The 16,543-nt window shown below is 35.4% G+C and overlaps 1 protein-coding gene across 4 annotated transcripts in view; it reads right to left on the bottom strand.

The window, feature by feature from the left end:
- Nucleotides 1-16,543, bottom strand: part of PHF14 (PHD finger protein 14) — a 195,747-nt gene that overhangs the window by 145,882 nt on the left and 33,322 nt on the right. For all 4 annotated transcript variants that reach the window (NR_033436.2, NR_033435.2, NM_001007157.2 and 1 more), the window contains 2 exons: nucleotides 9,831-9,990; nucleotides 758-869 (listed from right to left, as the gene is read on the bottom strand). Coding sequence is in view for 2 of the 4 variants with exons in the window: in NM_001007157.2 (NP_001007158.1) it covers nucleotides 758-869; nucleotides 9,831-9,990 (272 nt within the window). In the remaining 2 variants the exon portion in view is untranslated. The remainder of the gene's footprint in view (nucleotides 1-757; nucleotides 870-9,830; nucleotides 9,991-16,543) is intronic.

The raw sequence follows: 16,543 nt of genomic DNA, 5'->3' as shown, positions 1-16,543 counted from the left end.
CCTGCCTCAGCCTCCTGAGTGGCTGGGATTACAGGCACGCGCCACCACGCCCAGCTAATTTGTTGTATTTTTAGTAGAGACGAGGTTTCGCCATGTTGGCCAGGCTGGTCTCGAACTCCTAATCTCAGGTGATCTGCCCACCTTGGCCTCCCGAAGTGCTGGGATAACAGGCGTGAGCACCCAGCCCTAATTGGCCAAATTTCAATTTCACTGTGTCTCAGCGAACAGAGAGGCCCCAACCAAGTCAGGGAGAAAGATAGGGGAACACCAGGTTGGTGAAGCAGTCAGAACACACATAACATATATCAATTAAGTTCACCATCTATTAAGGGCATGTTAACGGCACGCCCCAAAACAATTACAGTAACAGCATCAAAGATCACTTCTAATATTCTTTTTCATAATTTTGACAAATTCCACTTCAAAAGTAAAGTCAGAAATTAGGCTTATATTTGATCCATCTAATTGTAAATAAGGTTTTGGTCTATGTATTAGGCATTGTGAACACTGCCAGGGAAATGGTAGTAGTACCAATTATCATTTTACCTCATACGTTACTCTAAATTAAGAATGTATAGAAGAATTTATGCATTATTGGCTTTCTAGGAAAACTACTATCAATAATAAATGATTTAGTGCTAAATAGAATGATTCCTAGTAAGCATTTCTGCAGTCAACATAATACAAATAAAAAGCCAGGTAAACTAACAAGTAAAACCTTTCTCTTTCAAGCAATCAAAAATGCTTTGTGTCTCACCTTGGCACCATATTTGGAATAGTTCATTTCCGTTAGTGTTACTGGTCGTAATTTGTCAATATCTCCAAAGGCTACTCCAGGAACATACAGGGCACAAACAATATGAACCCATCTAAGAAGAGAAGATATGATTTTGCTATCAAATCTTTTAATAAAATTCCCACACACAAAACAAACATATAAAACGCTTGCCATCTCAAAATACTACCAAGAGAATTCTGTAATCAAATGTTAAAATCTCGCAATCTCAGGCACATCATTAAAAAATATGAAACACCTACAGAATAACACTTAGTTACAAAAAAGGGGACTGAAATTACTTTTCCAGCAGCTTAGCCAAAACTGAGAGCTAACAACTATAATTGCCTTTCACTTAAAATTCACTCACTGCACTTTGCACTTATCTATTCTTAAATATTTGCATAAAACTACTATTCAAATGAAACAAAACATCATTTTCATATGCAAGGAAAGGTAGTCACGTTCATTATTTCAAACCCTTTGAGAATTAAGGATACTAATTTAATAACTGTGAATTTACTCTGCAGTAATTAGGTAAAATTTCTCTTATTACTCTTTTCCAAAAGCTGCTGGGGTAATAATCTTTAAGGACATATTTTACAATTTTTGTATACAGTTTTAACTTCCTTTCCAGATTAAAACTGCTGGGAAAAGGTACAGAATAAGCAATTCACATTTTTATTCATCTTATCTGTTTACCATACAATCTATATACTAAAATTTATATGCCCCAAATATAAATATTTATTAAAGTTTGAATGATGCTATAAGACTAAAACAAAGAATGCTCAGAGTTTCAGTACACTGAAAAAAATTGCAGTTGTTTCTAATTTCATTTTTTAAAAACTGCTCTGAACCTTTTTTAATATATTAGGCACTCTTTCTGCTTGCTTACAACAAAACAAAATGTGGCATCACTGACTTTGAAATTTAAACAGTAGATCTTAGCACTTTTGTAAGAAAGAGGGTCACAGCAGCAAATCTCTATTAACCCTGTGAATATATTAACAACAAATTCTGCTTTATCACAACTTCAGAGGCTATGCATGCTACATGGTTCTGGTTTTTGTGGTGCATTATGAGTTTTAGAGGACTAAGACCAAAAATTATTCTCTAGAGGCACTGGGAAAAATAGTTCTAAATCTTTTTAAAAAATTATCTTTTTTATTGGGGAAAAAAGCCAAGGTTTTGAGATTTTCTTGATAGAATGTTTTAATCCAACCTCCCAAATACATCCTATGGAGTTCAATATAAAGATACACATCTTCAACAAGCAGCTGCTTTCTCAATTTAATTTGTTCAGTTTTTTCATGCTCCACTGATGTATTAAATGTCGCTATACTCTGTAGGAGTTTATCTCTGATAAACCTAACAGCTGGCTGCTTGCTTCATACTGACCTTCTTAAAATGTAGTACACAAGTACTACAGATTTAAACTGCCATTTCAATGTGACTGGCATACAAGTATATCATTCTCCCAACCACTCATGTGAGGATACCAACTTGAGTCCTCATTAAAATACCTATCAAAGTCAATGAAAATCATGGCCGAGACAACTATGGTCCCTTTTAATACCAGCTGTAAATAGTTTCTTGCTCATCTGTTTAGATGCACATTATTTATAACTTTGTAATTAAGACAAATCTACAATTTAAAAAAAAATCTTCCTTGTTACTTTACCATTAATTTTGCTTGGAGCTATTATGACAGATGCTGACTGGGGAAAGGAACAGGAAATAAGCATCACATAAAACCACCAAAAAACAGTCAGAATTGTCATCCTAGCACAAACTATTAACAGATTATTGTAAATTCATATATTTTAATAAAGCAGACTAAGTAGAGTGATACTTCTCAAAAGACTCATTTAAGAATGAAAACTATATTAATCAATAAAATTGGAGTTTGAAGTGCTCTGTATCAGTAATGCCTTTACAGCATGTAAAACAAATTCACGTCAAGTACGTTATTTTCATTCCTTCATTCAGTAATCAATTATAAGTGTCTACTAGGCACAGAGCACCATAAAGGTAGTTTGGAAGTTATAAAGATGTATGTGAAGTGCTTACAGCAGAGTGTGGCTCACTGTCTTCACTCAAGAAATGTTAACTACAAGGAAAAAAAAGCCTAAAAGCTTCTGTTGAGTAGGAGGTTGTTCATTTACATATGAAGAATTGGTTTCAGAAAAATTAACTGATTTTCAAATATAACAAGTCTAGCAAGGGACAGAACTAAGACTTACTAAATCTAGAATTTTAAAGAAAAAAAAAGAAAGAAGTGGTCAGGCACAGTGGCTCATGCCTGTAATCCCAGCACTTTGGGAGGCAGAGGTAGGAGGATCACTTAAGCTCAGGAGTTTGAGACCAGCCTGCGCAACATGGTGAAACCCCATCGCTACAAAAAATACAAAATTTAGCCAGGTGTCGTGGCATGCCCCTGTAGTCCCAGCTACTTGGGAGGCTGAGGTAGGAGGACTGCTTGAGCCTAGGAGGCGGGGGTTTACAATGAGCCAAGATCATGCCACTGCACTCCAGTCAGGGTGACAAAGCCAGACGTTCTCTCCAGAAAAAAAGAAAAAATTGGCCAGGTACAGTAATCCTAACAGTTTGGAAGGCTGAGGTGGGAGGACTGCTTGAGCCCAGGAGCTCAAGACCAGCCTGGGCAACAGGTTGAAACCTCGTCTCTACAGAAAAATACAAACATTAGCCTGGTGTGGTGGCGCACACCTATAACCTGCACTACTCAGGAAGCTTCAGTGGGAGGATCACCTGAGCCCAGGAGGCAGAGGTTACAGTGAGCCAATATCGTGCCACTGCACTTTAGCCTGGGGAACAGAGCCAGGCCCCGTCTGATTGGAAAAAAAAAAAGAAAGAACTGAGACATAAAGATTTCAATGCTGCCTTCTATTGCAACATAAAGCTTATTTTTAAAAATTAAGGAATTTAGTTCAAAGCCATATTTCATTTCAGAACAGCTGGGAGGACACCCAACAAAGGACATAAAGAAGAAGAGTATGACGAATAGTAATGGAAACACAACATACCAAAATCTATGGGATACAGCAAAAGCCCTACTAAGAGGGAGGTTTATAGCTATAGGTACCTACATCAAAAGAGAAAAAACTTCAAATAAACAATCCAATGACATATCTTAAAGAACTAGGAAAGCAAGAGCAAACCAAACCCAAAATTAGTAGATTAATAAAGATCAGAGCAGAAATAAATAAAATTGAAATAAAAAACATATACAAAAGATCAATGAAACAAAATGTTAGTATTTTGAAAAGGTAAACAACACTGACAAACCTTTAGCCAGGCTGAGGAAAAAAGAGAGAAGATACAAGTAAATAAAATTAGAAATAAAAAAGGAGACATTATAACTGATATTGCAGAAATTCAAAGGATCATTAGCAGCTACTATGAGCAACTATATGCCAATAAATTAGAAAATCTAAAAGAAATGGATGAACTCCTAGACACATACAACCTACCAAGATTGAACCATGAAGAAATCCAAAGCCTGTACAGACCAATAACAAGTAACGAGATTGAAGCCATAATAAAGTCTCCCGGTAAAGAAAAGCCTGGGACTGCTTGACCTGATGGCTTCGCTGCTGAATTTTACCAAACACTTAAAGAAGAACTAATACCAATCTTACTCAAACTATTCCAAAAAACAGAGGAAGAGGGAATATTTCCAAACTCATTCTATGAGGCCAGTGTTACTCTGATACCAAAACCAGCCAAAGGCACATCAAAAAAAGAAAACTACAGGCCAGTATCTCTGATGAACACTGACGCAAAGATCCTCAACAAAATACCAGCAAACCGAATTTAACAATACGTTAGAAAGATCATTATGACCAAGTAGGATTTATCCCTGGGTTGCAAGCATGGTTCAACATAAGCAAGTCAATCAACATGATATATCACATCAACAGGATGAAGGATAAAAACCATATGATCATTTCAACTGATGCTGAAAAAGCATTTAATAAAATTCAACATCCCTTCATCATAAAAACTCCCCAAAAACGGGATAGAAAGACATACCTCAACATAATAAAAGCGATATATGACAGACCCACAGCTAGTATCGTACTGAATGGGAAAAACTGTAAGCTTTTCCTCTAAGATCTGGAACACGACAAGCAGGCCCACTGTCACCACTGTTATTCAACATAGTACTGGAAGCCCTAGCTTCCGGCAATCAGACAACAGAAAGATAAAAAGGGCATCCAAATTGGAAAGAAAGAAGTCAAATTATTCTTGTTAGCAGGTAATATAATGTTGTATTTGGAAAAACCTAAAGACCTCATAAGAAAACTATTAGAACCGATAAATTCAGTAAAGTTGCAAAAGACAAAAGCAACATACAAAAATCAGGAGCATGTCTACGTGACAACAGTGAATAATCTGAAAAAGAAATTTTAAAAGTAATGGCATTTACAATAGCCACACATAAGATTAAATACCTAGGAATTAACTTAAAGAAGTAAAAGATTTCTATAATAACAACTATAAAACACTGATGAAAGAAATTGAAGACGACACCAAAAAATGGAAAAATATTCCATGTTCACAAACTGGAAGAATCAATATTGTTAAAATGCCCATACTACCCAAAGCAATCTACAGATTCAATGCAATCCCTATCAAAATACCAATGACATTCTTCACAGAAATAGAAAAAATAATCCTAAAATGTATACGGAACCACAAAAGACCCAGAAGAGCCAAAGCTATCCTAAGCAAAAAAGAATCATACTACCTGACTTCAAATTATACCACAAACCTACAGTAGCCAAAACAGCATGGTACTGTCATAAAACAAATACACAGAACAAAGGAACAAAATACAGAACTCAGAAACAAATCCACGCACCTAAGTGAACTTAGTGCCTAACAAAGGTGCCAGGAACATATATATGGGAAAAGACAGTTTCTTCAACAAATGGTGCTGGAAAAACTGCATATCCATATGCAGAAGAAGGAAACTAGACGCCATCTCTTGCCATATACAAAAATCAAATCAAAATGGATTAAAGACTTAAATCTAAGACCTCAAACTATGAAAATACTACAAGAAAACATTGGGGAATCCAGGACATTGCTCTGGGTAAAATTTCTTGAGCGAAACTCCACAAGCACAAGCAACCGAAGCAAAAACAGACGAAAGATATCATATCAGGTTTTTTTAAAAAGCAGGATCACAACAAGCTGGGCAAAGAATACATCATCAAACTGAAGAGACAACCCACAGAATGGGAGAAAATATTTGCAAATTACCCAACTAACAAGGGATAAATAACCAGAATATACAAGGAGTTCAAATAACTCCACAGGAAAAAATCTAATAATCTGATTAAAAACAGACAAAAGATTTGAATAGACATTTCTCAAAAAAAGACATATAAAAAGAAGCTCATATGCTAAAACAGGCATATGAAAAGGGACTCAAAATCCTTGATCATCAGAGAAATGCAAATCAAAACTATCATGAAATATCATCTCACCCCAGTTAAAATAGCTTATATCCAAAAGACAGGCAATAACAAATGTTGGCAAGAATGTGGAGAAAAGGGAACCCTTGTACACTGTTGCATGAAATGTATATTAGTACAACCATGATGAAGAAAACTTTGGAGGTTCCTAAAAATTGAGCTGCCATATAATCCAGCAACTGCACTGTTGGGTATACATCCGAAAGAAAGGAAATCAGTACATTAAAGAGATATCTGCACTCCTATATTTGTCGCAGCACTGTTTACAATAGCTAAGATTTGGAAGCAACCTAAGTTTCCACCAACAGACGAATCCGATAAAGAAATTGTGGTACACAATACACAATGGAGTACTAAGCCATAAAAAAGAATGAGAGCCAGTCATTTGCAACAACTTGGGTGGAACTAGAGATCATTATGTTAGGTGAAATAAGCCAGGCACAGCAAGACAAACATCACATGTTCTCACTTATTTGTGGGATCTAAAAACCAAACAACTGAACTCATGGACACAGACAGGAGAAGGATGGTTACTAGACGTTGGGAAGGATAGTGCAGGGAAAGGGTGAAATGGTGGGGGGAGGTGGGAGATGGTTAATGAGTCGAAAAAGTGGAAAGACTAAGACCTACTGTTTAATAGCACAACAGGGTGACTACAGTCAAGAAAAACTAAATTGTACACTTAAAAATAACTTAAAGAGGGTAACTGGATTGTTTGTAACTCAAAAGACAAGTGTTTGAGAAATGGATACCCCATTCTCCATGATGTGCTTATTTCACATTGCATGCCTGTATCAAAACATCTCATGTACCCCATGAATATACATATCTACTATGTACCCACAAATAGTAAAACTATAAATAAAAAATAAAAAAGGAGAGCATGCCAAAAAATTTCCCACAGTCAGGTTTATAAGTCTTACTCTCCATAAGATATAAAATAAAAATTTAATGACAAGAATGTACTGGTTTTCTTACATTAAATCACATCATTTTCTATGTAGAACTTGTGGCTCCCATCAAGAATAGAAGGAAAAAAGTCTAATTAATCTCATGTGATGGTGAACTTCAAAACCTTTTTTATTCTTTATATACAATATTCTTTCTTTTTCCCTGTTTTCCATTTGAAGCTCATATACTAAAAGGCTTCTCGAATTTTCTTGGCTTTTTATACCTTTAATCAAACTAGTATTACGTCCTTGGAAATATTGTGAAGGCCTATAATTTCCAGTACAGCCTACAGGTAAGTGTAGACATTAGCACAAGTGTTCAAATAGTATATAAAAGAATTTTTGCCAGATTGCACCATCACAGGAGGTGTCTACTTATGTAACGTCCACAGTATCCAAAAAAAAATCCCTCAGTAAACCTAAATGGTAAAGAGGCCTCAGTTTTCTTCATTCAGAAACAACTTTGCCAGTTGTTTTGTCTATTATGATAGCATGAAGTAACCACTACTTGACAGTGTCCTAACAGAACTTTTAAATTATCAACAAGAAAAACAGTAAAATAAATTCTCTTCCCTAAAAGGAAGTTCTGTCTTTCCAAAACTGCCTTACTTATTCACCACAATTTATCACCAAAAATTTCAATTCTCAGGACTGGAAGAGTTACCAAAAAAAAAAAAAAAAAATCTATGCATGAGCTAATACTCCATGATTACCTAAAATAAGTGGAGCAATAATGGTAATAAGAAAGCACTAGTAGCAGCAGTAACGGCAGTAGTAAGAGTAAGGAGACATTTACTGACCACTTATTATGTTACAGAAACTGCTAGTTGTTTCTCATGGATCATCTCATTTAGTCTTCTCAACACTGCTAAGGAAACTGAGGCATAAAAAGGTTACATCACTTGCCTAAAATTATAGCTATTAAAAAAAAAAGACTAGAATCCAAACATAGACAGTCCAACTTGAAGGTGCACACTTAATGCTTACTAAACTCCCTAATACTAGGCCACTCTCAGGCCCAACTTAGAGTAATGCCTATGCCTATGATACAGACCACAGATTCATGTCAATACATCAAATCATTTGTTATATATTTTATTTTTGGATAGACAATAAGGAAGAAGAGGTAAGATTCTTTAGTCATTTGTCCTGAACATCAACACATGGGATTCTCCAAGATTCAATGGTAGATTCTACGCTATCCCAGCAATCTTGTATGGCAACATTTCTCAAGGATCAGTCCACCAATTGAGGCAAAAATGATAAAAATAAGAGAAAATTTGTTTTACTTTACTAAAGTAAAATTTATTAAATTTAAAAGCCTATCCTTTATTTTAGGACATAATATACCCTAGTTTTTATGTTAAAATATGGGAAATGATGGTGATAATTTATATAGGTTGCTTTGCTGTTAATCTTGTTTTTAATATAAAGCATGTTTAATAAAATACTAAAACATCCTTATGTGACAAAATAAAAATTTAAGTACCCACCCCCCCTCTTATATTGGAGAGGAAGAGGCAGAGCGTGATCTCCACGAAATACAAAAGGTTGAAAATTACTCTTAATTTTAGTCACCAACCCTAGATGGTAGTCTCCTGTAAAAAAAAAAAAAACATGGAAGATGGCAACACCGTTATGATGACAAGTGCTCAAATGTGTTAACAAACATGAGTGTGAATGTAGTAAAAAGAACACAGGTCTTTGTGCCACTTATTAATTGCCTCTCACGCATGCTTCAATACCTACTCTGCAATAATGGACAGAATTTCTTCAGCATTTCTTCTCAGAGTGAGCATAACACTAAGCTCAATGGTAGAGGGAGCTATAAACTCAATGGCAGGAGGTCTCGTAGAACGGAGGGGCTTTTCAGCAGGTATGGGTGGAGTACTTCCTCCTGTGCTCTGCCCCAGCTATATACACAGTCCCTCAGTGACCTCACAGCCCTGGCCCAACATGAAGATCATTTTTCCATGGCCCTCTCAACACAGAGGGCCTTCTCTCCATCCAGTAGGGTTTAACTATAATTTCTCCAACAAAGCCTGAACCCCAACCTAGGGTAGGAGGTCATCATTCCAATTTTGTCATTCCTTGGATAATCTCCCTCAGGCCCAGAGCATCCTTTAGAGTTTTTTTATACCTTATAGTGACTCTTTTATCACAGCTTAAAAATTCTTTATACTAAACTTCTTTTTAAATCACTGTATTAAGTTCTATCTCCTGATATAAAGTTATACAGATCTAGGTTCAAAATTGACCATTCACCAGTTTGTGGTCTTGAACGAATAAGTTATTTAAATAATCTGAGCCCTGGGTACTATACACCTATAAAATGAGAAACGTTACCACCTGCCTCATCATAGGGTCAATTATTAAGATTAATTAAGATTATGGATGTAAAGGCAAATGCAGGTACTCAATAAATGGTCTTTCCTCTCACCCTTCTCCATCTGTATCCCACTGGTCATTTATTCTATGCCAAGAAGATACAAAGAAGCAATCAAATGAAAGTGTGTAATCATAAACAGAAGAACAGGGAAGTCAAAGGCAGACACATTATAAAGCAAACATATGAACCAACATAATTAGGACATTAACCTTCCAGCATCTGTCTCCTTGAAAATTCCATCCTGATTAGGACACAGTTCACAGCTAGGAGAAACACCACATTTACAGGCATCACAAAACCAAGGTTCAGTGGAGTTTTCAGAAGCTGAACTCATAATAGAGTCACTCTCTCCATCAACTCCATAACAACCTAAAAAAAACAAAAACACTATGATTAAATAGGGTTTATTTTGTTAAAGTCACATAAAATCACAAAAGAAAAAGAATAGCAAAGAGATGAGGAAAAAGATATGAAACACCAATGGTTTATAAGAAACGTATTAAAATACAGAAATAAACTCATTTTATATACTTTTTCACCTAATGTAGTATACACAATGAAATAAATGACATTTTAAAAATAGTTTTAGTCCTACTGTAAAAGCATTAAAGGTGGGAAAACAATAAATTTTTAATTTAAAAAATATAAAAATTAGGCTGGGTGCAGTGGCTCATGCCTGTATTCCCAGCACTTTGGGAGGCCGAGGTGGGCAGATCACCTGAGGTGAGGAGTTCGAGACCAGCCTGGCCAACACGGTGAAACCTCATCTCTCCTAAAAACACAAAAATTATCCAGGCGTGGTGGCAGGCGCCCAGAATCCCAGCTACTCGAGAAGCCGAGGCAGGAGAATCACTTGAACCCTGGAGGCAAAGGTTGCAGTGAGCCAAGATTGCGCCACTGCACTCCAGCCTGGGTGCCAAGAGCAAAATTCCATCTCATAAAAAATAAAAATATAAAATATAAAAAATACAAGTTGTCATTAAAGAATTTAGATTAATTATTGGTTGGCAAACACTTACTGAGGTCCCTTTGTAGCAGGTACTAAAATATATATATAAAAGATCAAACTCATGCAAAACAAAGATACAAACCAAAAAGTCTTTGATCTAATTTTGGAGGTGGCAGATTATAATACAAACAGGTATAATACAATTGTAAAAGCAAAGTTATGCACCTAAAGCTATAGAACAGTTTGAAAAGTTCAGAGTAGTAACATTAGACAGACTGAGTTCCATGCACAACTGAGCCAATCTCTAACTCTATGATGTATTTAATCTGTTCAAAAATTTTAAATTATTCTTTCTGTGAAAATTTGTCTATAACTGAAATGGATGAAAACAATATGTCATTCTCTTTTTTCCTCTTATCACTCACAAAACTCAACATTCTGAGAGGAGTTCATCATATTATTTAGGCAGCTAATGTAATAAAAATCCTTAAAGATTCTCATGAACACACCCAACAGACAAGATAACTTGGCAATGCTCTTTACACTTTAGAGTAGGACATGTCATACTTCAATTCAATTGCCCTCCAATTATCAAAAGCAAAGTTGCCTTAGATACATCTCTGGAATTACAAGTTACAGTTGACAATGGAACAACACAGGTTTGAACTGGTCAGGTGCACTTATATGCAGATTTCTTTCAACACAACACAGAGTGAAAATACACTTGTGGGATACAAAACTCACATAAACAAAGCATCAACTTTTCATAACCCAAGTTCCCCAGGTCCGACTGTGGGACTTGAATATGTGCTAATTTTGGTATCTGCAGGGGTCCTGGAACCAATTCCCTAGGTATACTGAGGGGTGACTGTATATTTAAAGTTTCTATTTAGGCTTCCAGATCTGCCTAAAATTTTTAAAGTATTTTCCCTGATTTTGAGTTTAAAAGAGTAGATTATTTATCAAAGCTGCAATAAGAAGTTCAGGCAGGACTTCATTGACAATATCTTGGTAAATCAGGTTTTGATCATTAAAATTCCTACAACTCAATTTTGTCTGTGAACTCAGTCAGCATTGATGAGGCTGCCGGTATCTTAGAAACCAACAAAATCTGCTGGTAAGCAATGTCACATCCATAATCATAAATAACTTTCTCAGCATCAAGATGCCTAAAAGTTTGTTATTACTACCACCAAAGTATAATAAACATGGAATCTGATAAATGGAAATTGAAAAGTTCTGAGAGAGTATTTCATTCAGACTATAAAAAACCATGCTGAACTACTTACTGATAACCAACAATGAAGTACACTTCTCTACTGATGATAGTCATGACTCCTAAATAGATTTCTTTTTCCCAAATGGTAGTGGACATACACTAACTTATTATCAAATTTCCCTTCCTCTAAAAAGGAAGGCACTGCCCTAATGTAAAACATCCTTCAAAGAAACAATCTAAAGCATATATAATAATGAACACATTGCAACTTAATTCTTGTCCTGAAGTATCACCTTTAGGTTTGGGCATTTCTCCAGTCTCCTGAGACACATTTATTACATCTCAAAATAGGTCATTTCTAAAGATAAAATAGCAACCATCCCAACATCCTTTTGACCAGGTTTATTCTAAGAGGGTAGGTCTTGGTGCCAAGTTCTAAGGGGCATCCAAAGTAACACGCAATAAACTGATGACATTAAATAAGCCACAGTGAGAAACATTTAACATGATCGTCTCCTAAAAGACTTCACCATATGGGTAAGTTTATATATATCCAATGTAAGATCATGTGATTATTTGAACTGGTAAACACTAACCAGACAACCAGGAGCCTAAATTGGAGCGTGACCTCTCACAACCATCAAAGAAATTCAAACTAAAATAAATAACTACAGTATATAAATGAATGAATACTGAGTTAAACAAATCACCCACGAGAAAGGAAAAGAGCCATATACAATTAGTAAATAATTTTAAATTACCAACATTAATTAACTAGACGTCATTATATGTCAGTGGTTACATGTAAGTATTTCATTAAAACACTACTTACCAAATATAGATCATAACTAAAATAGCCTAATAGTAAGCAAAAAACTAAAAAGTTGGTTTGCAGCTATGACTTACACAAGCTGCTTCAAGCAACTGTTTAATTGTTATCCTTATGCTATTCAAAGGTTTTATAACAGTGAATTTTAATAAAATCTGAAAGTCAGCCAAGGCGTGTAGTTCATGCCTGCAATCCCAATGCTTTGGGAGGCTGAGGCAGGATGATCGCTTGAGCCCAGGAGTTTCAGATCAGCCTGGGCAACATAGTAAGGCCCTGTCTCTACAAAAAATACAAAAAAGAGTTTAGCCAAGCATGGTGGCACACACGGTAGTCTCAGGTGCTAGAAAGGCTGAGGTGGGAGAATCACTTGAGCCTGGGATGTGGAGGGTGCCAGTGAACCAGCCTGGGCAACAGAGCAAAATCTCGTCTCAAAAAAGTATATATATTTTTTCAGATTATGCATGTGTGTGTGTATATATATATGTATATATGGATTTCATATATACTATGTTAATAGTTATGCTAAATATAGTTAATATTAATAGTTACAAATTAAACTATATAATTAATTTCATTTAATTAACATTTTTAATTAACATACTTTAATACATAATTATATGTATCATATATACGCACACAATCTGAAAGTCATATAAAATGTCAAAGAACAGATTTAAAAGGAGTTAGACTATAACACACAAGATAAGCAAAGGAATCAAAACTCATTAATTTCTTTAATGTCATTAAATTGTGGTTGGCAATCATCATCTTCATCACCTTGGGTAGATATACATTACTTTAAATGCACTATCATAAAATTAAAAGGAAATATAATTTTATTCTTGGGGTCAGTTTTATTTCCAATAAAAGAACAAAACATTATATTCAAAGAAAAATCATAAAATGAAACGGTATCATCAATCTATTTTCTCCATGTGCTATGCAATACCACATGGGAAAAAATATATATTTTATTTACAAAATAATGTTCCTTTGAAACAAATTCAAACTAGATAAAATGTGCATCCACACAAGTAGGCAATTACCAAGAGAATAAAGCCCTTAAGGAGCTATCCAATTTATTAACTTCATTCAGCCAAATCAAGGTAAATCACAGCAGTTCACTTTTTCAGAATAAAGAAAATTTTCAATTATATTTTTAAAGAATATTCCACACACATAGCAAACGTGCACATTTGCACAGAGTTTTAAACCTCCTACAGTTAATCTTAGGAATGATTCTGAAATCCATTCCCAGGAAATTCTTCCTTTGTAATCTGGAAGAATGGTGTTGTGCAAGCTCAAAGAACAACCAGCAAGTCTGTATGTATTTTTTCTTCAGCTTCACTGTCCCTGAAAAATGATCCATACTGTGTCATTACCTTTATAGAGTTCTTTACTTGCCACTTTTACCTGCCACTTATCCCATATTTCTCTGTCATACCTGTTGGGTTTACTGAGCTCTAGACCAAAGTTCTAGCACTGTATATCTGCTCCAATTCATTTTAATTAGTGACTAAATACGTTCTAAAATCTTTCTCTCTTCCATATAAAACATGAGTATGGGAAACATATTTTCTTTTTCATATGGGTAAACAAAATAAACAATGTATAAACACATAAAACTCATATGTGCTCAGTGTGTTTCCAATGGGTAACACAGAAGACATGTTTCTATGGCCATTTAATTAGCATCAATCTTTGACTAATATATGCAATGTACACAACTCATATTTAAGAAAATAAAAATATGTGTTTACAATTGTTTTGAGTTGTACAAAGGTATGGATAATTCAAATCAGTGGAAATGTTCCCCATTCAGCTTTTCACACAGGGGCCAGTGGACTTTCAGTCTTCCATCTTCTAGCTGTGTAACTTTGAACAAACCAAATCTCTGAAGCTTAGTTATTTCATCTGCAGTATGTGTTTAATAATATCTATCCTAATTATATTTCGGTATATATAAAACAGGTATATAAAAGTTGCCATTTAAAAACTTAAAACACTTTTTCTGTACTTAATATATCATTAGACTTTTGACTATGAAACTCATCAATAAAAAAGACTTTTTTTTTTTTTTTTTGAGACAGAGTCTCACTCTGTCGCCCAGGCTGGAGTACAGTGGCATGATCTCAGCTCACTGCAAGCTCCACCTCCCAGGTTCAAGCCATTCTCCTGCCTCAGCCTCCCGAGTAGCTGGGACTACAGGCGCCCACCACCATGCCCGGCTAATTTTTTTGTATTTTTAGTAGAGACGGGGTTTCACCATGTTAGTCAGGATGGTCTCGATCTCCTGACCTCGTGATCCACCCACCTCAGCCTCCCAAAGTGCTGGGATTACAGGCGTGAGCCACCGCGCCCGGCCAAAAAAGATTTTAAAATGAGTAATATTGTTTACGAGAAAGACAGTACCTACAACATGCATAATACTTGTCAGAAATATATCCCAAAGCATTGGTCCCCAACCTTTTTGGCACCAGGGGCTGGTTTCGTGGAAAACAATTTTTCCATGGATGGGACAGGGGGATTATTTTGGATGAAACTGTTCCACCTCAGATCATCAGGCATCACATTCTCATAAGAAGTATGAAACCTAGATCCCTCATATGTGCAGTTCACAATAGTGTTCGCGCTTCCAGGAGAATCCAATGCTGCCACTGATCCGACAGGAGGTGGAGTTCAGGCAGTAATGCTCCCTCACCAGCCGCTCACCCCCTGCTGTGAGGCCCAGTTCCTAACAGGCCAAGGACCAGTACCACCTGGTTGGGGACCCCTGTCCTAAAGCACAAAAGAAGTAAAGTACCAAATGGTTGTAACTTGAACATATTCTACTATCCAGTGAACACTCCTAAGGATATCTTTTTGCATACACTAAAAAACAAAAATGGCCTTGGGCTAGGCTAACAGTAAACTGAAAAATAAATAGGGGGAAACATCTCTTAGTAAGCCTTATCTCATTTAATGAATAGCAACTAAACCTGAGGGCAACTGCTGGTAAGTACACTACCTAACTTCTGTCAAGTACTAACATATACCTGACATTCTCCTGAATTCAGACACACTACAATCAGGATATCAGGATAAGTGACATCACGGTCAGAGGTACCCTAATATTAGAAGATCTTCCCACAAAGATATTTATACTAAGTGACACACTGCAGCCCTCAAATTTCAAAAAGAAAAGAGATTTAGATGAAGTGAGCACTCTGAAAAGTAATTACAGTAAACAATTATAAATTCAATAAGCGAAATTTGGCATACTATCTTTTAGCAAAATCTCAACTTAAAGATCCTTATGCAATTACTTGAGAATAAGCATATTTCTCAAAAAAAAGGAGATAAAAGAAATGCAACAAAATACTATGGCTGTCTGGATATGAGGACAATTAGAAATGTTTTTTTCTTCTCTCTGTTCTATATTTTCCACATTTTATTTAATATTCATGTATTATGATAGGCAAATAGTTTTCTCTAAATAAAGTATTCATGAAGTTCATATTTAACCATGTTTTTTAAAAATTGCATGGCTGAATTACAATATGGAAGTCTGTCACTGTAAGCAACCATATTTAAAAACAAAAGACTCTAGCAATACTAGCTACTTATTACACTTTTAAAAATGTCCCTTTCTTTGGATTGAGTTTTAGATAAAAATTCATTTTGAAACTTAAAAACTAGTCCCAAAAGAGTTAAGGGGGAAAAAAAATCTACAGGTGTTAACTGTACAGAAAATTGTAAACAATAAAAAATCACAAAGTTAAAGGATACAGAACAGGATGGAAAACATAAAAAACATTTGCAAGGATGGAAAATATTTGCAACACATATAACAGACAAAGACCATTAAAAAAAGAATTCCAATAAGTCAATGAGAAAAAAAGAGAACCTAATAACTAAGCTTTTCTTTTCTTTCTTTTTTTTTTGT

The sequence above is a fragment of the Homo sapiens genome, chromosome 7 (genome assembly GCF_000001405.40).
Source record: "Homo sapiens chromosome 7, GRCh38.p14 Primary Assembly".
Taxonomy (NCBI): Eukaryota; Metazoa; Chordata; class Mammalia; order Primates; family Hominidae; genus Homo; species Homo sapiens.
This window is presented reverse-complemented; position numbering and strand designations above follow the sequence as displayed.